Source organism: Homo sapiens, chromosome 16 (assembly GCF_000001405.40).
Source record: "Homo sapiens chromosome 16, GRCh38.p14 Primary Assembly".
NCBI classification, from domain to species: Eukaryota; Metazoa; Chordata; class Mammalia; order Primates; family Hominidae; genus Homo; species Homo sapiens.
In genome coordinates this window covers 51,127,075-51,153,067 of record NC_000016.10, presented here as the reverse complement: position 1 = coordinate 51,153,067, position 25,993 = coordinate 51,127,075, and the positions used below count along the sequence as shown (strand labels likewise).

Here is a 25,993-nt window from a genome sequence, read left to right as displayed (position 1 = left end):
CACCCCCCTCCTCCCCCATTACTCAGCCGAAGTTTAGTTTAGTTTAGTCCTTCGGGCGCAAGACTTCGAGAACCTTGGAGCGAGGAGACCCCGAGGCGCGAGGGGAAAGAGCTAGGCTGAGCCGCGTACCGAGTCTCAGGTTCGCGGGCGCCTGAGCCCGGCAGAGGGATCGGGCTCCTGGCTCTGGGCTCTGGGGCGAGGGTAGGGAGGTTGCATCTCAGCTTGAGGGAGATGGTGATAGAGCGAAAAGTTCGGGCGCCGCGCTCGGCAAGTGCCCAAAAAGTGGAGGCGAGCTTCGGCGCCGCCAGGCAGCCTCGGACAGAACACCTCCCCACCGCCCTCCCCCCACCCCGCTTTCCGGCTCTGCGCCGCCACCTCGTCCCGGAAGGCTGGGGCGCGGCCCCCTCCCCAGGGCGGGGTGCCCAGGGGTCCCAGGGACTGGCCCAGTCCAGTGCCGGGTCCGCCCGGGCTGTGTCTCCCTAGGCCGGTGCTCGCTGCTGCGCTCAGTGTGAGCCGCAGCCCCTCCCCTCCCCCCGGCCGGAGCTGAACTCGGAGCCCAGGCCGGTCCCCGCTCTCCGCCCGCCCGGGGCTCTGCGGCGCCACCGCTGCCGCCGCCTCCCCGCGGAGTGACGCGCCCTGCAGCCAACCGGGGCAGCCGGGGGGGAGGTCCGGGAGGGGTCCTGGGCGGAGCCGGGCCGCCCCCTTATCCCACGGGCTCGGGGCTGCTTCTCCCGAAAACTTCAGCCCTAATTGTCCTGGGAATGTCCGAGGTAGAGAAAGGGAGCGAGGGAGCAAGCAAGAAGCTGGAGGATCAGTGCCCCTGGCGGGGAGGGGATGGGGTGGCGGGAGAACTGCCCCTCCCCCCAGCCACAAACCCATCAGGTTCCCAAACCTTTCCTGGATCCTCTTCTCCGCGCCCCCGCGAGCCCGGGATCCAGGGGATGGAGAACTCGGGGCGGAGGAGCGCCGAGCCAGGCGGGAGGGAGGCCGAGCCGTGGGCGGGAGGCGGACCGGCGTGGGGCTGGCTCTTCCCCACTCGCTTATTTTTTTTTTTAATGGGGGTGGGGGTGGGCTGCTTTCTGGTAGCTCTTAAAGAAACGAAGAAACACTCACGAAACGGGACGCCCTCCCCCCTGATCCCGCCGCGGGACTCCCTCCCCCCGCGGGCCGGCGCGCCTCGCCCCCGAGTTGGGAAGTTCGCAGCGCGCCGGCAGCCCGGGTCCCCAGCCCTCGCCGCCCGGCCCCACCCCCCACCCGGGGCGGCTCAATTCCGGGGAGGGCATGCTAATTTGGGTCGGCCCAGCCCGGGATTGTGGGGGGGGGCGAAGGAGGGAGGGAAGAGGGAGGGGAGAGGGAGAGAGCGGGGGGCGCCTGCCGGGGCGCCGGGCCCGCAGTGGAGAGGAGGCCGGCCCCCGGCGGCCGGGCCGCGGAGTCCCGGGCGGTCGCAAAGAGGGTTAACCCAGTGTCGGGCGGCGCGGCGCGCAGAGCCAGCCCCGCGGCCGGCTTATTGGGCCAGCGCGCGGAGAGACAGGGGTCTGCAGCAAATCACGAACTAATTGATTAAGGCGAGCGGGTTTGAATAGCGCTGGCCCGGTGCCAATCGCCTTTCAAAGAGCCCCTCTATGATTAATCGCAATGCATTATTGATAATCATAATTATAGCAGGACACATGCGCGCTGCGCCCGGGGCCGGGGAGCCGGGGAGGGGGCGGGCGGGCCGGCGGGCGGGGGGAGCCGCCGCCGCCGCCGCCGCTCGATTTCCGTAATTTTGAGAAGATTTTTTTTTAGTAATTTTTTATTCTGCCCCAGCTGATGTTTGAGCCAGCATGTCGCGGAGGAAGCAAGCGAAGCCTCAACATTTCCAATCCGACCCCGAAGTGGCCTCGCTCCCCCGGCGAGATGGTGAGTGCTCCGGCCCGCGCCGTGGACACACACACACGCACTCACACTCACGCACACTCGGACCCACTCACACGCGGCTGGCCCCCGCGCCCCCTACCTCACCGCCGCCGCGGCCCCGATTGCTTCTTCCACTCGGCGTAATTTTTTTTTTCTTTTTAATTTTCAATGTGCCTTTGCTGGGCTTTCCCCCGCTGCCCCGGGGAAAGCGAGCACATCTCCCGGCAGGATCTTTCCGGAGTTGTTGGGTCCTCCCGGGGGAAGGAGGGCGGGCATGCCGGCCTGGCTTCTCCGTCCCTGCTTTTCCGGGGATCCCAGCCGCGGCCAAGACCCGGGAGCCCCATGAGGCGTGGGTGCGGGTGGAGGTCGCCCCGGCCTGACCGCACGGGGCCCCTAGCGCTCCCGGCGCCGGCCCCAGGGCACCCGGCCCGGCCTCCGCCGCCCGGCCTTGCTGCCAGCGGTAAGGAAGTTTACTTCGGGCGCTGGGCTGAACTCCGAGCGTGGGGGAGTTCGCTGCGCCCCCCTGCCCCCACGCACACTCCCCCTCGGCCTGCGAGGCAGAACCGGGTGTCTTTGGAGGTTCAGAGCTGCAAGAAGATGGGGACTGGTGTCGGGGCGCCAGCGCCTGACCCGCTGGGGTTGCGGCCGGGGTGGAGAGTGCTGCTGGCCGCCAGTTGTTCCGGAGACGGTGCAAACGGACGGGGAAAGTGTCGGGGTCTGGCTCGCAAAATTTATCTCCGCATCTCTTCCCACAACACTTGCACCCTCTGCCCCCCAAAATCTTTCTGGTCGGTATGCGCCCTCTGCGGATCGTGGTGCTCCCTACTTCCAGGGGGGTCAGGGAAGAAGTCATAGAATAGTTTTCCAGGTTTGCGGGTGGCCAGCCAGAGTGGAATCCCCCCTGAAACAGGGGCACTTGTTTTCTCCGATGGAGGCGACAACTGTGGGTCCCGAAGGGGCTGAACAAGTCCAGAACAAAGTTTGTGTGTGGGGGCTATGGCAGAGAGTGGAAGAGATCCGGGCAGGGAGTTGGGGTACAAAGGGAGGACACCTGGAATCCCTCCTTGCTCCTAAAGGTGTTTCACGGTACCGGCCTCAAAGCTCCCAGGCCTAGCGCCCGAGGCGGTGTAGCGGCGCCCGGACTCGGGTCCCCGGGTCGTCCCGGCACGATGCTGGCCTCTCGGCTGTGGGAGGACGCACAAGGAGCAATCTCGGCGGGGTCTCAGCGGCTCCGGATGCCACTCGGGATGCCCACGCCCTAGGCGGCATTTTGGGGTGTGAAGGAGGGAGCTGGGCCCCGACAGAGCTCCGAAGCGTGACCCTGATCGGCACCTCAGCCCACTAAGCTGCGGCCGCCCGGGCCCCCAGGTCCCCGGCTCGTTTCCCAGAGGCCTGCCTCTCGGTAGAGCTGGGGCACAGTGAAGCGAAGGGACCCCCGCTCCCTTTACCCCTGATGTCGGGAAAGGGGAATCCTGACTTGGGGTCCCTGTAAAAAAATGGAGGACTTGAAATTAATTAAGAAATGCTTTACAATAGCCCTCCTCCCGGCCCCCAGTGTTTCCTCAAGCTTGAATCCTTACCCACGGCCTCTGCGATTTCTCAGTCCGCTGAAAAGAGCCCCTGAACCCCGCTTTCCACCCCAAGCGAAAGCGAGCACGCGGGGTAGATGGAGGTGAGATGACCCAAGGCCGCAGCAGCTGCGCCGAGTATTTTTCCGGGTTTTCTCAGCTTAGTTTCTTCTGCTTCCCGCAGTCACACTCATCTTTCCTAAAGTTTCTGGTGAGACCTTTTGCACCGGAAAACTGTTCAGGTTAACAGTTTGTACACAAAAAAGCAAACTAGAGATAAGAGAGCATTATATAGTGTGTTTTGTAAATTTGTACTGGTTTTCTACATTTAAAAAAAAAAAGTCTCGGCCTTCGAGGAGAAATGATGCGTGGAAGATCTTTGCCTTTTGCCTTCAGTATCAGGAATTTTTAATAGTTAAGTCTTCTCATAAAGCAATAATATAAAAGGAGTTCACTACCTCTTACCATTATTCTTTATTAGTACTATTTTTTTCAATTTAGTTTATTTGAGCTTTGAGGTAAGTTAAGTAACTCAATCAAGTTTCCTTTCTTTCTCTTTTCTCTCCTTCTTTTGATTTCTTTCTCTTCCTTCCTTTCTTTTTTCTTCGCAAAAGCTGGTACATTGTCCTAAAGAAGCAGTAAACTGTTAGGGGCTCCCTAGGAAACACCCCCTCCCAGCCTTCTTTCCTCACCTCTCCCCACCCCCTCCTCTTTTTCTTCAGTAGTAATGGTTTTAGGTTATGACTGTTTTTACATGGTTGAACAATAAGTTTGGGAGAAGTTGCCTAGAGGGTAGATTTTGTAATAGGGTTTCAGGATTTAGTGTGTTGTAATAATATTAGTACACAAGTAATCCTCCCCCAACGCTGGACATACAGGAGGGCCTAACATACTCCAGTTCTTTTATTTGGGAGTAGTTCTGAAATAAATGGCATTGAAAGTTCATGACATAACTCAAGGTTACCTTTTAAAAGTCACCTTTTCTGCAGTGAGTTCAGCAATCTCATTCTTCTCCCCACATATAACCCATACTTCTAGGAGTAGCTGGATTTTCTGTTTTGTTTTGTTTTTTACGTAAAGAAACATTGTTATATTTTTAGAAGGCAAGCCCCTTTTCAAACATTCTGATTACTTTTTCTTATGTCTTGAGATGGTCTTTGAAATATGACAAATGAAATATGAAACATACCAAATTAAATCTAGTTCATGCACTTCTCATTTATCAGCACCTCAGATTGTATGACTTCTACCCAGAGTGAGACCTAGAAAAGTTTGTAGACCTAAGTTACAGGAGCCCTAAAGAAGCAGCTCCCAAAGCTGAAAGCAGCTAGGGCTGCTTGGTGTTGTGTGTCCTGCCTGTGTGTGTTTGAGTGTGTGTGTGCTTACAAAGAAAATCCAGACCATGCTAAGGAGCCACACAGACAGCTTCATCTGAAGCAAATGCAAACAAAATACAAAAACAAAAACAAAAATGAGTATTTGGTCGATTTCAGGATGCTGGTATTTTATTTTACTTTAGTGTACAGCTGCTATGCCAGAAACACTCTAAACTTGGTAATTTTTCTGCTTCTTATGAAACCAAGATTATGGCAAATATGACTTGTCTCCTAAATGATATTCAACAAGTCTTGAATTACTTGCAGAAAGATGACTGCTACTGGAAAGACTGTTTATCAAGTTAAATAATTCTGAGGAAAGGGAATATTACAATCTAATGATTTTATATGTGGGCTCTTTACTACAAATTGGGATTTCAGTTATGTGTTTTGTGTGCGTAAGTGCATGTGTGCATGTGTGTGTGTGTGTGTGTGTGTGTGTGTTGGAGTTCTTCCTTTGGTGGCGTTTTTAAGATTCCTGTAACTTCTACATGGATGGCCCATTTAGACTCCATTCATTTATTTAAAAAGTATTTTGGTGCTCAGTTTTTTCAAGGAAAAGATAATATTGGAAGAATGAAACACCATGAATTGCAGATAAAACACTAACAATCATATGAAGTATCATAAAAATTCCTCTTATTTATATTAATAATGAAATTCTATTATTTAACCGAAGTAATTTGCTCATTTTGAGCAGCTTCATAGCAACACATTGATCTCTGGGCCCAAAAGGTTAGCGAGAACTGTAATTAATTGCTTTTTTTAAAAAAAACCAACACCTGCAAGATAAGGCAGTTGGAAAGAATTCATGTTTAATCAGAGCTGTTTTAAGTTTGTCATAATGGAAGATTCTGAATGAGAAAATGCAAACTGTTTTTTTTGTGATTTGCTTCAGGCCACACATACTTTGTAAAATATTAAAAAACAAACACATAAATGAGCAAAGTCTAGTTAGGCATGAGGGTAGTATGTGTGAAAGTGAATATGTGATACTGAATGTTTTGTGGTTTATTTTACATCACATTTCCCCTAGAGTTCATTGGCACAAGTGCCAACGTATAGGTTCTTCTTTGGGGGCTCTATTTGTTTTCTTTATACTTTTGGAGGTAGCAAGTTGTCTTTACCAACAGAACCTTTTAGAAGGTAGAACTCCACATTTTTATGGTGGAGATCTTACTGGGGCAGAAATAGGCAGACTGGTTAAGTTTTTGAAATTGTCAAAAGCCAAGCTCTGTGTAGGAACTAGAATAAACTCCTTCTACAACCTCAACTAGGTTTTTCTGAGACACTTCTTGGTGCAGATAGCACCAGAATATTCCAAAAATATTCTTAGATTATTAAAACTGAAGTAGTTTGGCAAAAGAGGTGGAAAGTTAACCAAAGAACTAACACCCCTCCCCCCAAAAAAGAAAAAAGTTTATGTGCCAGGCTTTAGAAAACCTAGATGTGTCAAGCTGTTTTAACCTTTGCTAGCCTCCTCCCATGCAAAGGTGACAAGGTCCAGATCATAATATGTCCTTCAGTATCTTCCCAGTGACCCCCAAATTGAATCCTGCTAGTCACTTAGCAGGAAGTTAGTAGTTTATTTTAGTTTCACCTTATCAGCTTGGCGTCTTTTCCTAACCTTATTCCCCTGTCACCCTCAGATGCCAGACCCCCAAAGGGGAAGATTGACAGGTAGTTCCCATAGCTCAGTTTTACCCTCAAACAACAGGGATTTAGTTTCTTGTGCCTTTGCCAATGTTTATGTAGTCAAAGTTTAGATCTCGCCTTAAGGAGTCTCTTTTTTACGCGTCACTGCAATAGGAAAGCCACAAAGAAGTTTTTGAACAAACCCTTGCAACTGGAACCCCATCTAGTGTTCAGTTTGATTCATCCATGGGAAAGACATTTTCCCCTTTCATTTATTGTGTACATTAGGTGGGCTTGGATCACTATTTTAAAAGCAACGCCTCGTCCATGTTGTTATTTTTTCAGAGATTTCACTTGTATTCTTCCACAAGAGAATACTCTAATCCCCGTCAGAACAGTGAGTGAACTTGAAGGGTACCAGGAAATTTGTCATTTGGTGGCATATCACATAGAGGAAACTTTAGACATCACAGAAAATATGCACAGCATATGTCGTAGTGTTTAAAATTTCTTTGGAATCCTAAGTTGGATTCAGACTTTTCCATTTGGATTCAGACTTTTCCCAGGTCGATGCAGAAAAAAAAAAAAAGAAAAAGAAAAAAAAAAAAAAGACCAATCAATCAAATATGTTTGTGATAAAAAAAGGAACAGGCTGTTAAAATTAAGGACTCCTAAACCACTATCATGAGAAATTCTATTAGGGAGTGTAAATGCAATCTTAAGATAATGGGAAGTACAGTGAAGTGTCTTTCTGAAGAGCTCCAAAAAAGAAAACTAAACCTAGTAGAGTAAGGTGGTTGCATTTGTTTTTTGTTTTGTTTTTTCCCTTCCTGGCTGGCTAAACCTTTCTGTGTGGGACATAGTTTTATTTTTATTTTCTCAGTAGACAGATATGGTAGAACACTTCAATTTTCTGCTTCCGACTCTGCAGTTTGGTTCAGATGATGAAAAACTGACAAATTTGAATTAGGCATCAGGTACCTAAATAGTACAACAGGAACTAAAGCATCTGGGATTTTAGTATAAATTTGGTGGAGGTATAAGATCACTCTTCCCGCCCCCCCAACAAAAGGCCCAGAAAATTCCAAATATCTGTTTGTGTGCACATACTTAGAAAACCACTGCTTCTTAAATTTTGCTATCTGACTAGGGTTGCTTACAAAATAATCTGTATGCAAAATCCATAGAAAAGGAACAGGAATGTTATTTTCACCATAGTACAAGGAACAAGGCAACTGTATTTACTATAATGGGGTCACCAGTTGCAATCTTGTGTAACAGATTACTGAGAGAGATACAAGATAGCAGACAATCAGAAAAATTAATTATAACATGTTCGTGTGTACGTGTGTGTGTGTGTGTGTGTGTGTGTATGTGTGTGTGAGAGAGAGAATGTGTGTGTATGTGTGTGTGTGTATCTTACTACAAATTAAAATATTCCCTTTGGTAAAGAGTCCAACTAGTCCTCATGTTTTGTCTTTTTTTTTTTTTAAGTAAAAGACTGTTTCCTTGGAATTTTGTTCCGAATGCAGATAGATTTCAAGTTAAGAATTATTGCAGTGTAGCGACACCTGCTTTTGAAATAAATCAAAATAGATACCAGTATTTTGGGGATGTGGGGGTGTTCATAAACATCAGGAAATTAAATTAGTTCACTCTACAGTGAGATCAAATGTCAGCTTATTAAAAATGTTGTGAAAACCTAAGCTAAAATATGGACAACTTTTTAACACAGTCTCTTAAAAGCAAGCAGGCATTTGCATTTATTTTTAAACATCTATATTTTCCATCCAGTTAGCACAATCCTAAATATAAAAATGTTTAGATTGAAAAACTTGAAAATTCTCAAGTGAGTCTCGAGGCAGCACAAATGCAGAATTTGAGTGCAGGAAAGTAATAATCAGCTAAATCCTGTAAAGTAACCTTCCTTTTATTTTCTCTGTATATTATGAGAATATCAGATGTTTGCAAGTTATAAAGAATTAAAATCTCTTTTAATCGTGAGCACAGATGTGCTAAATATTTGAAGCAACTACATTGTAATGTGTACAATTGATGAAGTCAGTTTTCTGATTTCCCTTGCTAGTTATTTAGTTCTGAATCTGTCATTATTTGTCTAAGCCCAGCTGACCAAGCAAAACTGTGTTTTAAAGTGGCTTTATGTTTTGATAAATGTGAGCTGGTTGAAAAGTATTTTCCACTGAATGCAGAGCTTAATAGAACATGCTGACATAATAGTTTTAATGCATTTTGTTGAAAATGTGTGAACAAACAGAATAGCTTTTGTTCCTTCATAATTGGCTGTAAAAGTAGATGGAAACATAACCATTACATATGGAAATGTGCAAAGAGAAAGAAATAACATTTCTGTTGAATATATTAGGAATTGCATTTCCTAGTTTAAAATAAGCATCTGAAATGGATGCATCATTTAAAATTGATTGTCAAAATAAGAAGCTTTAAAGAGAATTTTTGTCACATTATTTTTGTCCCAAGTTAAGCAATATAACTTCAGCAAATTTCATCTAATATTTTGTTTATATGATTTTAAGGCAGGGGAGAAGCAGAAAGGGCTTAAAACAGCACCTTCCATGTGCATAGGAATCCAGTGCCAATTAGAATGCTTAAACATTAAATTAAAACCAAATCATTATTGGTATTTTCTGCTGCAACTAAGATTTGTTTGGTGGTGTTAATGCATCTTGCACTATGCCCTTGTGGAGATTAAAAGATGGGTATTAGGAAAGCTAGCTTGTTAAGTATAACTTAGCTACTCAAATAACACTCCCAGTGAATAAAGTGTGCGTACGTTTGGCATACTTCACCAGGGATTCTAATCAACTTCGGCATCACTCAAGGCAAATAGAGTTAAGGAATTTCCAGAAGTTAGTATTTAGGTATTAATTTTATTTTCTGGAATGCAAAACTAGTCAAGTTTTTAAAAATGTTTACTACAAAAAAGCAAACAGCTGACCCTTTCCAACGGACTTTTAAGTTTACTGAAAAAAGCAGCATTTTGATTTTACATTTATTCATATCTGCAATTACTTTGTTTTCTGCAAGTTTTCTGGGAGATTCAATTTGGAAGTCATGGAAACTACCTATTATCTGATTCAGTTCTGCAGAAAAGCATGCAGGGAGGTAATCCTTGAATTAAACAGTTTTTTTTTTTTCTTCACAGCCTTCGTAGATGACCACACACCATTTGTACAACAGAAGTTGGTGTTCCCCATGCTGGGCAAACAATGGGAAGCCATCCTGTCTTTGAATAGGATGTTAGCTTGGAGTTAGAGATTTTTCTGTTTAATTTACAAATGGATCTTAGTGAGAAGACATCTGAGCAACCAATGGAAACAAACATGAAATAAAGGGATTTTTATAATAAAATGTTCAGGACAATCTGTTAAACGATTGATAACAGTTAAGAGCAAACTGTTTTTAAAGGCATTCAGACAAGGAGAGCTGCAAAGCATTTTCAAACTCTAAACCAAGAATTATTTCTTAGGAGATGGGAGCACTTCTCAACTGCACATCCTTCTTGAAGTTGATGTTTAATCAGAAATGTAAATCTTGTGCCAGTTTTTATAGACATAGAGAGCACTTTTGATGAAATATTTAGAGGCATAATGTTGCCATTCGGAGCATGGTGGCATATATTCTTTGATTAGTGGAATGGTAGCCGGAGTTACATCTTTAATTTTAAAAATAAACATGCCATGGGGTGATATATAGGTGCCAGGCAAGCCTTGTAATGGATTAGGATCATTGTGTTTCTCTTCATTGTGTGTGTTGCCATCCCTTTGTGTTCAAGTGAGTTTTGAGGAACGGTCTGGAGGATTTGTTACTGATGTGACTAAAGTGCGTTTGTCAGGGATCAGACTTAGCGCAGGTTCGAGGTAGGGGCTTGAGGTGATTTTCAAGTTGTCAGTCTACAGCTTGGTGATATGCATTTTTTTCCCCCTTGTCAACAACTGATTGGAACCTGAATGACTACAAATTAGTTTAGTGACAGAACAAACTGTCACAGATATCTTTGAGTCGGTTGAAAATGAATAAGGTTGACAGAAACTCAAGAGCCTAATAAGTCCTCAGAATGGTTTGTGGACCCTCTCCGGACAAGTAGACAATAAGGTGTATAAAAGATTGGAAATCAATATTTTGCTATGGAATTTCATCATGCACCAATGTCTCCCATTTGTAGTATTTTATATTTTGATGAATTATATGAAGGCCATGACTCTCTGAAATACCGGATGGATAGGAATTCCTCCATACCCTTACAAATTAATTATGGATGTTCTTAGGTAATATTGATTGGTTTTCAAGGGCTACAGTTTTGAGTTTTGCAGGTGGAAAACCATTGATTAGCCTTTTTTTTTTTAAGTCATAGGTGACTGTGTGTCCTGGCCCCTTTTCTAATCCTGCACCTTTTTGACATTTGTAGGAGACACAGAAAAGGGTCAACCGAGTCGCCCTACTAAGAGCAAGGATGCCCACGTCTGTGGCCGGTGCTGTGCCGAGTTCTTTGAATTATCAGATCTTCTGCTCCACAAGAAGAACTGTACTAAAAATCAATTAGTTTTAATCGTAAATGAAAATCCAGCCTCCCCACCCGAAACCTTCTCCCCCAGCCCCCCTCCTGATAATCCTGATGAACAAATGAATGACACAGTTAACAAAACAGATCAAGTGGACTGCAGCGACCTTTCAGAACACAACGGACTTGACAGGGAAGAGTCCATGGAGGTGGAGGCCCCGGTTGCTAACAAAAGCGGCAGCGGCACTTCCAGCGGCAGCCACAGCAGTACCGCCCCAAGCAGCAGCAGCAGCAGCAGCAGCAGCAGCGGCGGCGGCGGCAGCTCCTCCACAGGTACCTCAGCGATCACAACCTCTCTACCTCAACTCGGGGACCTGACAACACTGGGCAACTTCTCCGTAATCAACAGCAACGTCATCATCGAGAACCTCCAGAGCACCAAGGTGGCGGTGGCCCAGTTCTCCCAGGAAGCGAGGTGCGGCGGGGCCTCTGGGGGCAAGCTGGCCGTCCCAGCCCTCATGGAACAACTCCTAGCTCTGCAGCAGCAGCAGATCCACCAGCTGCAATTGATCGAACAGATTCGTCACCAAATATTGCTGTTGGCTTCTCAGAATGCAGACTTGCCAACATCTTCTAGTCCTTCTCAAGGTACTTTACGAACATCTGCCAACCCCTTGTCCACGCTAAGTTCCCATTTATCTCAGCAGCTGGCAGCAGCAGCTGGATTGGCACAGAGCCTCGCCAGCCAATCTGCCAGCATTAGTGGTGTGAAACAGCTACCCCCAATCCAGCTACCTCAGAGCAGTTCTGGCAACACCATCATTCCATCCAACAGCGGCTCTTCTCCCAATATGAACATATTGGCAGCGGCAGTTACCACCCCGTCCTCTGAAAAAGTGGCTTCAAGTGCTGGGGCCTCCCATGTCAGCAACCCAGCGGTCTCATCATCGTCCTCACCAGCTTTTGCAATAAGCAGTTTATTAAGTCCTGCGTCTAATCCACTTCTACCTCAGCAAGCCTCCGCTAACTCGGTTTTCCCCAGCCCTTTGCCCAACATCGGAACAACTGCAGAGGATTTAAACTCCTTGTCTGCCTTGGCCCAGCAAAGAAAAAGCAAGCCACCAAATGTCACTGCCTTTGAAGCGAAAAGTACTTCCGATGAGGCATTCTTCAAACACAAGTGCAGGTTCTGCGCGAAGGTCTTTGGGAGTGACAGTGCCTTGCAGATCCACTTGCGTTCCCATACCGGAGAGAGGCCATTCAAGTGCAACATCTGCGGGAACAGGTTCTCCACCAAGGGGAATCTGAAAGTCCACTTTCAGCGCCACAAAGAGAAATACCCTCATATCCAGATGAACCCCTATCCTGTGCCTGAGCATTTGGACAATATCCCCACGAGTACTGGCATCCCATATGGCATGTCCATCCCTCCAGAGAAGCCAGTCACCAGCTGGCTAGACACCAAACCAGTCCTGCCTACTCTGACCACTTCAGTCGGCCTGCCGTTGCCCCCAACCCTCCCAAGCCTCATACCCTTCATCAAGACGGAAGAGCCAGCCCCCATCCCCATCAGCCATTCTGCCACCAGCCCCCCAGGCTCAGTCAAAAGTGACTCCGGGGGCCCTGAGTCAGCCACAAGAAACCTAGGTGGGCTCCCAGAGGAAGCCGAAGGGTCCACTCTGCCACCCTCTGGTGGCAAAAGCGAAGAGAGTGGCATGGTCACCAACTCAGTCCCGACGGCGAGCAGTAGCGTCCTGAGCTCCCCAGCGGCAGACTGCGGCCCCGCGGGCAGTGCCACCACCTTCACCAACCCTTTGTTGCCGCTCATGTCCGAGCAGTTCAAGGCCAAGTTTCCTTTTGGGGGACTCCTGGACTCAGCTCAGGCATCAGAGACGTCCAAGCTTCAGCAACTGGTAGAAAACATTGACAAGAAGGCCACTGACCCCAATGAGTGCATCATCTGCCACCGGGTTCTCAGCTGCCAGAGCGCCTTGAAAATGCACTACAGGACACACACTGGGGAGAGGCCCTTTAAGTGTAAGATCTGTGGCCGGGCTTTCACCACGAAAGGGAATCTTAAAACCCACTACAGTGTCCATCGTGCTATGCCCCCGCTCAGAGTCCAGCATTCCTGCCCCATCTGCCAGAAGAAGTTCACGAACGCTGTGGTCCTGCAGCAGCACATCCGAATGCATATGGGAGGCCAGATCCCCAACACCCCAGTCCCCGACAGCTACTCTGAGTCCATGGAGTCTGACACAGGTTCCTTTGATGAGAAAAATTTTGATGACCTAGACAACTTCTCTGATGAAAACATGGAAGACTGTCCTGAGGGCAGCATCCCTGATACACCTAAGTCTGCAGACGCCTCCCAAGACAGCTTATCCTCTTCGCCTTTGCCCCTCGAGATGTCGAGCATCGCTGCTTTGGAAAATCAGATGAAGATGATCAATGCTGGCCTGGCAGAGCAGCTACAGGCCAGCCTGAAGTCAGTGGAGAATGGGTCCATCGAGGGGGATGTCCTGACCAATGATTCATCCTCAGTGGGTGGTGACATGGAAAGCCAAAGTGCTGGCAGCCCAGCCATCTCAGAGTCTACCTCTTCCATGCAGGCTCTGTCCCCGTCCAACAGCACGCAGGAGTTCCACAAGTCACCCAGCATTGAGGAGAAACCACAGAGAGCGGTCCCAAGCGAGTTTGCCAATGGTTTGTCTCCCACCCCAGTGAATGGTGGGGCTTTGGATTTGACATCTAGTCACGCAGAGAAAATCATCAAAGAAGATTCTTTGGGGATCCTCTTCCCTTTTAGAGACCGGGGTAAATTTAAAAACACTGCTTGTGACATTTGTGGCAAAACATTTGCTTGTCAGAGTGCCTTGGACATTCACTATAGAAGTCATACCAAAGAGAGACCATTTATTTGCACAGTTTGCAATCGTGGCTTTTCCACAAAGGGTAATTTGAAGCAGCACATGTTGACACATCAGATGCGAGATCTGCCATCCCAGCTCTTTGAGCCCAGTTCCAACCTTGGCCCCAATCAGAACTCAGCGGTGATTCCCGCCAACTCGTTGTCATCTCTCATCAAGACAGAGGTCAACGGCTTCGTGCATGTTTCTCCTCAGGACAGTAAGGACACCCCCACCAGTCACGTCCCGTCTGGGCCTCTGTCTTCCTCTGCCACATCCCCAGTTCTGCTCCCTGCTCTGCCCAGGAGAACTCCCAAGCAGCACTACTGCAACACATGTGGCAAAACCTTCTCCTCATCGAGTGCCCTGCAGATTCACGAGAGAACTCACACTGGAGAGAAACCCTTTGCTTGCACTATTTGTGGAAGAGCTTTCACGACTAAAGGCAATCTTAAGGTACCTTGCTCTCTCTGCACCATACCTGCTCCATCAACCCTGTCCCACTGCCATTGATTATCTATAATGCATGCCCCCAGAGTCATCAGCCCAGATATTCAGGGAGAGAGCTCTTGCAAGGGAACCTGCTGCACATGGTTGACGGGGGAGAAATGGGGGAGAGGGTGCCTGGGAGGGTCAGGATCATGGCAGGGACAAGGGCAAGCTGCAGCTCACTGAATGTCAGTGCACATTGAATAATTTGGTACCTAAGCGAAGCAGCGGCCTCTCTCTGTTGTCTCGCTAAGTGCACCAAATGAATTGCTTTACCTACCAAGAAAGCCTAGCGTTGCCATGGGGTATTGATTAAAGACCTCCACGTGGCCTGTGTGCTGCCCGTATCACTTAATAATTAGGGTTCTCGGCGTATGTATCTATTTTTCATAACTATGCAGTCCAGCATGGTTTGTTTGTCTAAAAACAATAACGTCACTGCTCTGCTAATGGGTATTATGATAATTGATTATACAGCATTTCCTACTGATATGTGTTGGAAATAAAGCAAATATGCTTAAGTTCTAGAGCAACAGTTGAGTGCTCTTAGTGTGTACATTTTTCTGTTGACAGAGTATTTCTCTGGAGATTGCTCCCAGTAATGTGAGATGAATAATTACTTTCTGGCTTTTCTCTCCATACGCAGGCCCTCCAATGGGCAATCAGGGAGGGATACCTTCTCCCCATCTGAAAAGGACATTTATAGGGTAAAGGGTGTCAGATACAATACTTACCATTGCAATGAGAGTGGACCTAACAATTCTAACCCTGAAAGGAGCTATCCGCCACTGCCTGGCTTGCTTGAGGCCATTATAAGCTAAATATGGTTAATAAAAAAAGAGTAAGTAAGGCATCCTTGCCTTGGAAGAGGGGAGACAGCCCAGGGCTGCAGAGAGTGAACACGTTATTACTAGACAGGAGGAATGGATGGTTCCTGTTGCCTTCACTGTCTGTCACATGATGAGAATAGACATTTAGGCCACTTGCTTTGTGGACATTTGGGATATGAGTTGAGACAGATTCAGCTATTAAGCTTCTCTCCCCCTCCTCTTTTTTTTCTCTCTCTCTCTCTGTCTCTCTGCCTGCCCTCCCCATATCTCAGGTACACATGGGCACTCACATGTGGAATAGCACCCCTGCACGACGGGGTCGGCGGCTCTCTGTGGATGGCCCCATGACATTTCTAGGAGGCAATCCCGTCAAGTTCCCAGAAATGTTCCAGAAGGATTTGGCGGCAAGATCAGGAAGTGGGGATCCTTCCAGCTTCTGGAATCAGTATGCAGCAGCGCTCTCCAACGGGCTGGCGATGAAGGCCAACGAGATCTCCGTCATTCAGAACGGTGGCATCCCTCCAATTCCTGGAAGCCTCGGCAGTGGGAACAGCTCACCTGTTAGTGGGCTGACGGGAAACCTGGAGAGGCTCCAGAACTCAGAGCCCAATGCTCCCCTGGCCGGCCTGGAGAAAATGGCAAGCAGTGAGAACGGAACCAACTTCCGCTTCACCCGCTTCGTGGAGGACAGCAAGGAGATCGTCACGAGTTAAAGCAGCTCGGGCTGGAGACATAGCATTCATTCCTGTTCAGAATGCGACCTATGGTGGCCTCCTACTCCTTGCCCCCCACCCCGCCCCGCCCCTTCCTTCTGTTCCCCAGATCTATGAACTACAACATTATGAAGACATTCTTTTGTACCTTGTTCAACTTTAGAGTTCTAAGAAAGCTTATTTATTAGCGATATAACCTTGCTTTGCAAACAGAATGCAAGCGTTAACTTTGGTCTTCTGTATTTTGGACTAAATACTAATTGACTAGAGTGCTGTAAACTTGCTGTAACATTTATGGCAATTGCAAGTTGCCCTGCTAGGCAGTTGTAATCTGGCATTAACTTATTTTCTATATCCAGTTTAATATGAATCTGGTGTTGATGCAATGCCTCAGTGATGCATTAGATCTCTAATAAAGTCTGTATATACATGTACACTTTGATCCTGCTGGAAAATTTTATCAGCAAACACATTGTCTAATCTTTCAAAACAGATTTAAGGAAAGGACTGAAAGTACAGACTGAACAGTGTGGTTCTTTGAAAGGTTTGGTTTTTTAATTTTTATTCTAAAATTCAACCTTTTTTTTTGTCGATTTAACCATTTCCATTTTGAACTGCTATTTGTATTGTGCTTTTTACTTGAGTCGTCTTCAATGTTAATAAGTTTCTGTACAGTAATAAGCACGCAGAATTCTTTAGAGAAAAAGAAAACAAGCGTTGTTTTGGTAGTTGAAACTGAGACGTAACATTTTGCCTTGTAGGTATATTCACGATAGAAAATGTGTGCTGGAATTTCACAATGCTGCTAAGTATAGCATCTTGAACAACCTTCAGTGGAGAAAATGTAGATGCTCTTGTATATACAATAAGAAATATCACTTTCATTCAAATGTACATATGTTCCTTACAAGAGCAAATGCTTCTTCTTGATCAAGAGAGCAGGTATAGTGTTTGTTTATTTTGTCTTAGGTATGGAAGAAAAAAATTGGACTGTTACATGCACTTTCTTGGAAAGTTGAAAGGAAAGGGGGGGTCCAATTTCTTTAACATTTAATACTTACTAACAACAGAGATACTGTAATTTTACTCAAGTAATCAAATACATTTTTTTTGCAACAGATAAAACAAAATACTGTGTCTGTGTTTTTAGAGTGCATTTCCATTTAGCCAGGCCCCAAATGCGTTTTAACATTTCCCCAGGCAGCAGTCAATTGTGTATGTGAGTGTGTATCCCTCTTTAAATGAGGAATTGTAAAAGGCATAACAAACGGCTTTGCATGGGCCTGCGTTTTCTTTTATTTTGAAATTTGGAGGCCCTAGATATTTTCCCAGTATCTATGATTTATTTAGGAATGGATTTTATAGACTCCACTCGCTACCCACCCCACCCCCAAGAAAAGCAAAACAACGAAATGACATAAAAAGATGTTGTTGGAGGTTTTAACCCAACAGGTAAGTTTCTTTTAAGCAAGATATTTATGCCGATTTAGATTTCACTTTTACTATTCTGGTTTTATTTCACTTAATGCAGTCACGTTTTTTCAGGCAGCTGAGAGCCACATTGCTGGGGAGTTCCTGATGCTGCGGGGTTATATAATCTGACTTAAACTGGGCCTCAACCCAGAGAGGTCAACATGTTCTTTATTTAATTGGTCTTTTAGGCATTTAAACGCACATGCATATTTGAAAGAAAAAGTCTATTAGAAAGGTTATGTAGAGTCAGCTTGAATATTTCATCAAGCAAATTCAAATGGATTCTTCCCCTCTCCCTGTTGTTCTGGGGCGGAGGGGGGAACAGGCTTTCTTCCTCCTGAGCACTGTTTTGAGGTGAGCAAACGGACTGAAGGGAAGCTGTGTCCAGAGGGGTCGCCGATTTTTTTTTTTTTTTTAATGTTTCAGGGAGCTGGTGAACCGCGCATCCGGCGGTTGTGCCCAGGTAAGGTAGAAAGCGTCGGGCCGCTTCCTGCAGAAGTTTCCACCAGGGCGCGGGCCACTCGGGTCCGCACTCCCCCGACCCTGTCGTTAGACTCTGTGCCGAGGGGGCGCCCTCAACCCCTGCTCGGCCTCCGGGTCCGGGTCCGGGTCCGGGTCCGGCGTTCCAGAAGGTGGGCGCTGACCTGGGCCGGGAGAGTTCAGGGGAGGGGGTGGGAGCCCCCAAAGCCAGAGAGGGCGGCGGGGGGGGCAGGGGAGAGGGTTGCGCGACGTCGTGATTGATGCTGAGAATCACCCCGAAGGCTTGGCACCCGAACATTTAGAGGGACAGATTTCTCGCTCTCCTCTCTCCTGTCCCGTCCCCTCCGCTCCAGGAGTGACATTTTTTCCCCAAGAGTGGGGACACGGATTGAAGGCCGGAGTTCCAGCCAGAACTCTGGTTCTGCGCGGGCCAGATGGAGCTGTTTCCGTTGCACAGACGACGTCCACAACTTCCCATCGCTGGGCGTGGCGAGGAGGGGCTGCCCCGGGCTGCGCGCCCTTTACGCCCAGGGACAGGGCCTGGGGACATCTGAGGGAAGTGATCCGGGGGGCTGCCGCCCACCGAGAGGGGCAGGCTTCGACAGCGCCACCCTGCCGCACATGCCCGGCGCCTCGCCGGCCCTCTCCAAAGGTGTCCAGGGGCTGCGCCGCGACACTTTCCACCGAGCGTCTGCCAGCAGCTGGACCCCGCTCTCCAATGGCCGCCGCCGCCAAGTCCCCGGGGCTCCCGCACTCCGGGCCGGGCGCGAAGGTCACCGCCCTGCACCACCTTGGGCTGCGCGTCCATTTCCAAGAGGCAGGCAGTGGGGAGAGGGGAGCGGGGGCGCTGTGTTCCCTTTCCCTCTCATCACTAACCTCCCACCTTCCAGCGGTTTCTGAAAGTGAGTTAAGGGGAGCAAAAGTCACTTCTCTTTCCGGAGCCATCAGAAGAGTTTAGGAAAAGGTCAGAGGGTCTCTCTGTCTCTCCGTCTCTTTCTCTCCAACCCCCTCCTCTCTCTCTCTCTCTCTCTTTTTCTCTCTCTGTGTCTCCTTTTGTCCCTGCCTATCCATTTATTGATTGACTATCTTTCTAATCTATTGATTATTACCTGCCCATTCATTCCCCTTTCCATCCATTTCCAAAATAAGAAATCGCCCTCTGCCCTGCTTCTCCTCCCAGTGTGAAAAATACACTCAGCCTTTGGGCTCGGCCCGCAGAACAGAACTGGATTTACATTTACAAAGCAACAGGGTTGAGGTGAAGGCAGCTGACGGGCGCGCACCCCCTCCTCACCTACTCCCCGACCCTTGCCCCGCTACGCCTCACTAGAGGTGCCTCGTGGTGGTATTGAAATCACCGAGAACCGAATTCACTGAATTAAGGAAGGATTGTTGCTGCAACTAAGTTCACAGAATTGTTTAGCTAAAAATATTCACTTTGGTGACAGTTTCCCCAGCTTTTTTTTTTAAAAAGGGGGGAATTGTAAAAATACAGAACAGCCCAGAGAAGAATTTAAGAAACGCTTTGTGTCTATCACTCAAAATTTACAAACGTTAGGAATTTGTAGTTTATTCGAGGTTTTTTGTTGTTTTTGTTCCCCCCACCCCTCCCCAGGAACTGCGTTTCCTGTTCTTCCTCTCTGCCTGGGTAGCTGTCATTCTCTCATTCTCTCTATCTTTCCTTCCTTATATTCCGTCGTGCTTTTTCTTTCTTCCTTCTCCCGTCATCTCCACTACCCTCCCTTTTCCACCCACCCCCCCGCCACGGGCTTCCTTCTTCCTGGAAAATATACTTGGAAGAGCAGTTTGGTGATTGACAGGGACCTGGGGAGGGGAAAAAAAGAGAGAGAGAACCAATGACAAACCCAAGCTGCTCGAGATGACCCCTCCCTCCCTCCCTCCCCCCCCACCCCCACCCCCGGTCTGGGTTGGGGAAGGGTGGGTAGCGTAAGGGAGGGGTCCTGCAGATCAGCTGGAGATACCTGAAGCTGGCTTTGCGCTTTGAGTTTTTACATCCCAATCTTCACAGGCCAGGTCTATTCAAATGGCTTTTTAGGGAGTGGAGGGAGGGCATTTTTTTTTTTTAATTACAAGAAAAAAATGTCTTCAAACAGAAAATTCTTAATGATTTGCAGTTGACATAAATTTCTAGCAGTAGATTATTTGCTTATTGTTTTTGGCATGTCGTGAATGTCAAGAATGAGAGAGCAAAAAAAAAAAAAAAAGCTCCTACTCTGTTAAAACTTAGCAGTCCTGTTAGAAAAATAAAGCAATGGATTATTTGCTAGGAGTTACACACTCCATCCCAAATGAAACAAATGTCAGAGTGGGTAACAAAGTGGAAAAAAGTATAAAGTGAATTTCAAAGGGCTCCACAGTAAAGCGCAATCTGAGATTCACAGAAAAGTAGAGACGGATAAGACAGGAATTAGGTCATCTCGTCCAGACCCCAGGAAATATGTCTAGATCAAAGCCTGCTCTGTTAGAATAAACAAAACAGGACCCATTGGGCCCTACCAATATTTTCATCTCAGTGCTAAGAGCTGCTAATCTAACCAGCTCTATTTGATGAAAGGGAGTAAAAATTACAACTGTAAAAATGACGACGTAATAAATGTCCTCTCAACTCTTAGAGGAAGATAAAGATTTAGATTTGAGCTAAAAAGTAACAAGATCCAGGCCCAGATCAACACAAACTTCCTGGAATTTTAGCACTAAGTAAATTATCTAATCCTAGCCATTGTTCCCTCCCTGCTGCCACCCCTCACCCCCACCCATCCCGTGTACCCCATGCAATTGAGTATGCCAGATGATTTACATTAAAAATTTGTTAAATTTTAACTGCAGTCTGAGGACATTGCAGGGGGCCTTTGGGGTTCCCTTCTTTTGCATTCCTTAAAGACCCACCGGTTTTCTGTCCCCCACCAACCCCAATGTGGCCTGCCCCCCTGGCAGTTGTTGGGGTAGCAGGCTGGACTTCTTTGTGTGGATGCTTTGTTTAAGCCCAGTCTTAAAGTTTGGGCTCTTTTTCCACCGTGAAGGGCAGATGGACAGAGGCCTGGCACGTGTGTCCCATCAGCCTGGCTTGGGGTCCACACAGTTCGGCAGCTCATTGATATTTTCGCAGCTAAGCTGAAGTACTGTGTAAGTACTGGGTAAGACTTTCACCGCCGACTTGATGGCCTTCAACCAATGACCAGGGAACATTCGATAGATAGAAACATCTACAAAAAAGGACAGGAAATCCCAGAGAAGGAAAATTGGACCAGGCTAAATCCCGGGTTGTAGTTCCTTACTGAGCCTGGCTTCCTCTTAACTGTTTAAACATAGGACTTGGCTCCTCTCATGTTTCTGTGTCCATCTGAGCTCAAGTTGAACAAAGACTCATCGGCCGCATGTCAACCTGGCTCCAGTGCTTTCTGAAGCTAGGGACGATGACAACGGGGGTGGCAAGTGTGACTGGCCTTTCCGAACGCCACCAGGAACAGACTGTTTTCTGTGTGTGGCCCCTGGCTGCTCACCTCGCCAAGGGCAATTCCAGGATCAGATTTTTACTTACATTCTGCGGAGGGCTTTGAAGACAAGTGAAACTGCATTGGAGGCCACACACAAGTCGATCCTTCCTTATAAGACCCAGAGTGGGACCTAGTCCAGCTGCACCAGGCATAGCTGAATCCTGACACAGTGCAGTCTGTTAGGTCATGGATGCCTGGAGACCAGGAGGTCACATCATCTTCTCATCCCAACTACATTCAGGATGAGGTCCTGGAAGTCACCTGGAAACAAGGGTAAACATGTAAACATGGTAGACCCCACTCCTGAGATTAGGGCCAGACAAAACATAACTATACTAATCAGCCTGCAGACCTGCTTCTGTATTCAGAATTTGGAATTCTCCATGTCTCATCTTGCTTGTCATCGTAACAATCCACTTAACAGATGACAAAACTAAGGCCCTGAGAGCAGAGAAGGAACATTTGGACACCAGGAGACCTGGAGCTATCACTAGCCTGAATGCCAACTTTGGGCATTTGGCAATCATTGCCTGATCAATGGTACCATTCCCCAAACTGTACCATGAGAGGTTAGACTTCCATCAATAGGCTCCAGTAGCTTCCTTCAAACTCTTGCCATGTTTATAACTACATTAGTGGAATCCCATCTTTACTTTTACTTATTTAATAATTTAAGCTGACTCCCCTTTTAAAACTTAAGTATATTTATTTCAAAAGGAATGGGAAACATTAAATTCATTTATCTCCAATAGTCTTTCTAATCCTGTGCCAGAGAAACCCTTATAGTGCAGAATGGTTTTACACTGGTGACGTTCCCCAAATTCAAAGTAATCTGAACAAATCCCACGGCTTCACTCATCGACACCCTTTCTGGGTTCTCTTCTAACCATCTGTCTCTTGTTTCAGACAAGCATGAGGTCTGTAAGTCTTACAGAGTTTTATTTAAACCCCATCTCACTGCCCATATCTGTCAATACATACCTTAGACCCGGCCTAGAGTTTTCCAAACTGCAGGATGTGACCCACTGGTGCATTATGAAATCAGAATATATAATCGCCAGGACTATTTTTTTTAATGTAATAGAACAGAAAATATCAGAGTATACCACATGTAGTAAGGGTAAGTGGTGTCTTGTGAAGCTTTTATTTCAGTTATATATATGTGTGCACTGGGCATGGTGCCGTTCTTAGCGTGAGTTGACATCAAAAAAGTTTGAGTCGGGCATGGTGTCTCAGGCTTGTAATCCCAGCACTTTGGGAGGCCGAGGAGGGAGGATCACCTGAGGTCAGGAGTTCGAGACCAGCCTGGCCAATGTGGTAAAACTTTGTCTCTACTAAAAATACAAAAATTAGCCAGGCGTGGTGGCGCGCGCCTGTAATCTCATATACTCGGGAGGCTGAGGCAGGAGAATGGCTTGAACCTGGGAGGCAGAGGTTGCAGTGAGCCGAGATTGTGCCATTGCATTCCAGCCTGAGCAACAGAGCAAGACCCATCTCAAAAAAAAAAAAAAAAAAACAACTTTGAAATGGGCCAGGTGCAGTGGCTCGTGCCCTGTAATCCCAGCACTTTGGGAGGCCAATGTGGGCAGATTGCCTGAATCCAGGAGTCTGAGTTTGAGACCAGCCTGGACAACATGGTGAAACCCTGTCTCTACAAAAACTACAATAATTAGCCAGGTGTGGTGGCATGTGCCTGTAGCCTCAACTACTCAGGAAGCTGAGGTGGGAGGATCCATTGAGCCTGGGAGACAGAAGTTGCAGTGGGCCGAGATTGTACCACTGCACTCCAGCCTGGGTAACAGAGCAAGACTCTGTGCCAAAAAAATTTTTAAAAAAAAGTTTGAAACATAAAGAAATGATAAATATTTCAAATGATGGATATGCTAATTACCCCATTCTGATCGCTATACATTATATGTATCAAAACATCACTATGTACCCCATACAATTATTATCATTTAAAGAATAAAAGCTACAGTAATATTAATTACACATAATTCTTCGTTTAAAAATGTTTGAAAGCTATTGACAAAGACTCTAAAAGATATGGTTATCCTCTCTGTTTCTCAGCTGAAACACAGAACCAGGGTCCTCAGAGAGAGGACTGACACTCAGGTTTTTGAGGATCAAGAGAGCAGGGATGAAGACACATGAAGACGAAGTGGATTCCAGAGTCTCTGCCATCACTCATCCACTGTGCAGAGTTTTCTAGCTGCTGCTTCTGCGAGGAAAGAGGCCAGCGCTGGCTCCTGGTGCTGGCTTGTGTGTGTTCTCCCCTCGTAGGCTGCTTCCACTTGGAGGATTTTAATAGCATTTCGTCGTCAAGGGGATTTCTCCTTAAACACACGCATGAGTGCAGAAGGGGAAAGAAAAACCTTGAGCAGGAAAGCTTAATGACTGCAGCAAGCGGCACTGTCTCTTTAAGATCCCTCCCCCATTGGTAATTGGGCCCAGTCTTGGGTAACTAAGATAACATCCCTCCCAAATCCTGCCATTTCTAGGCACCCTTAGTCACTGTGTATTAACTGTGGGGTTTAGCATAGCCTAATAGTATAAAGTCCTAAGAAGTCATTCCTAGAAGAGTCCTTGTAGAAATGCTGCTCTGATAGGGAGGTTGTCTGAGGACTTCAACAAAGATAAGATTCCAACTCTAACACACACACGCGCGCGCACACACACACACACACACACACACACACTTATTTACCTAAATGTCCAGAGCTAAGAGTGGCCAGGGAGGAACTTCTTTGGCTATATAGAGGTTGGTCTGAGTTGAGGCCTGAGTCATTTAGAATTATCCCTCTCAATCTGGGAGCAGAAGTGACTTGCCCAAGGTCAACTTATGAGTTGAAGATAAGATACACTAACTCATTCTTGGTTCTCAATTCAATACTTCCTGTTTAAATAATAATTTAAAAAAAAAAAACCCACCCTAGTAGTTCCTTTATCGGCATCAGCTCTTCAGCCTCTTCGATCCATGCCCTTTGCCAGGTAACTTACAGTCCCTCCCCACTTCCCTGCCTCTTTGGGTTTGACTATGTGGCTTGCTTTGGTCAGGAGAGTGAGGTCGATGCTATGGTGTGCCAGTTCTGAGCCAGGCCTCAAGAAGCCTGCATGTTTCTACTTGTGCCCTTGCACCTCTGAGAAGCACGTGACATGAGAAGCACGTGCCGGCTGCTCTCAGGAAAAGAGTGGAAGCCCTGTGGAGCGGAGCTATCCCCAGCCAACCCCAGCCAACCCCAACCTAGATGTACCAGAGTGAACCCAGCCACACAGAGCCTACCCACGGTTCTGTAGGAATAAACGGTGCTTGTTTTAAGCCACCAGCTTGGGAGCGATTCCTTACTTAGCATCACCGGGGCACAGTTAACCATTTCAATAAGATGTATTTAGTAATGACAGTAAGATGTATGCAATGATAACCGTGTCAGACATGGCTTTAGATGCTTTATTTGAATTAACTCATTTAATCCCTGTAACTATGACAAGAGGTAGGTGTTATCATTGACCCCATTCTATGGATAAGGAAACTAAGGCGCAGAGAGGTTAAGTGAAATGTCTAAGGTCACACACCTGGTAAGCAACAAGAATGTGAACCCAGACCTCCTGGCTACAGAGCACACATGCCGGTTCTTCATCACTATGCTGCTATTTTGCCCTATCTCAAGTCTCCCTGAGAAACCTGCTAACGGTCCCTCCCTAACTAAACCCCAGGTCTGGAATTATAAAAGAAAGAAACCTCACCCTGCACCTTCCCCACTCTGATGTTCTTAACTTTCTCTACTTTATATATAGGTCTCCAGAAGAAGAATTCTTAGCGATCTACAGGCAAGAGATTTGCTCTCTAAACTCCTCCTTCTCCCAGAAGAGCTCTCCTACCCAGAGTCCCTCATGCTCAGCATGCAGTGCAGACAGAAATAGCAGCCATCTACATGAATTGTGGATCCACGCACTCATTCCAAGATCTTCTTTCAGCGAGCAATGGATTCTTCATGCATGTGATCCTCACTACGTACCCTACAAAGACCTTGCTAATGCTTAGAGATCAAATTATTTGTGTATCTTTTCAGTGGAGGAAATGATCCATCCACCTGATAGTGTGTGAGCTTGTATCCCCTCCTTCTTTTTCCCTCTCATGGGAAAACAAATCAACTGTTTTTCCTTTTCCTTCTCACAGACTGCAAGTCATGCTATCTTTCACCAAGGAGGAAAAGTTGCATCTGAGTTATTGCTGTGAAGAAGTAGTTTGCAGGCACGGGCAGCTGGCATTTTTTTGTCTCTATGTGAAGAGGATCAATGCAATTCATGTTTTCTTGTTCGCACAAAGCTAGATTTGAAAATTCCTGGAAAATCAAGGAAATGTTTAGAGAAATTGTTAAAATTTTGGGAAACAGGAAATCTGAGAGGAAGGTCAGGTTTTCGTAGTCTGGATATGCTATCGGAGAAGTGAGAAGGGGTGAGAAGATGGGTAGGGTGAGCTTCTTTCTTTTCTAGGCGCTCATCCCCTGATTGGCCAATGTGTTGGTTTCCTAGGGCTGCTGTAACAAATAAAGCAATAGAAATGTATTC

At 46.9% G+C, this 25,993-nt stretch overlaps 2 protein-coding genes across 6 annotated transcripts, besides 1 other annotated feature; both read left to right on the top strand.

Annotated features, from left to right (window-relative positions):
- On the top strand, window positions 734-17,086 carry SALL1 (spalt like transcription factor 1). 5 transcript variants are annotated; one of them, XM_047434443.1, is made up of 4 exons: window positions 734-770; window positions 1,810-1,902; window positions 10,923-14,380; window positions 15,516-17,086. In XM_047434443.1, exons 2-4 carry the CDS (start codon window positions 1,827-1,829, stop codon window positions 15,954-15,956), a joined length of 3,975 nt encoding a protein of 1,324 aa, XP_047290399.1. In that variant the 5' UTR covers window positions 734-770; window positions 1,810-1,826; the 3' UTR covers window positions 15,957-17,086. The 5 variants fall into 5 exon arrangements, with proteins under 5 accessions (XP_047290399.1, XP_047290398.1, XP_047290400.1 ...); XM_047434442.1 differs by having other exon boundaries at window positions 734-882; XM_047434444.1 differs by lacking the exon at window positions 734-770 and adding an exon at window positions 905-1,293.
- Window positions 2,101-2,601: an enhancer, noted in NCBI's record as "H3K27ac hESC enhancer chr16:51184378-51184878 (GRCh37/hg19 assembly coordinates)". NCBI's record gives its function as "activates a minimal SCP1, AML or CMV promoter by ChIP-STARR-seq in naive H9 embryonic stem cells {active_cell/tissue: H9 hESC(naive)}" and the evidence as "EXISTENCE:reporter gene assay evidence [ECO:0000049][PMID:30033119]".
- Window positions 17,177-19,320, top strand: LOC105371253 (uncharacterized). The gene is made up of 2 exons (XM_017023963.3): window positions 17,177-17,892; window positions 18,263-19,320. Exons 1-2 carry the CDS (start codon window positions 17,847-17,849, stop codon window positions 18,865-18,867), a joined length of 651 nt encoding a protein of 216 aa, XP_016879452.1. The 5' UTR covers window positions 17,177-17,846; the 3' UTR covers window positions 18,868-19,320.
- The last annotated feature ends 6,673 nt before the right edge of the window (window positions 19,321-25,993 follow it).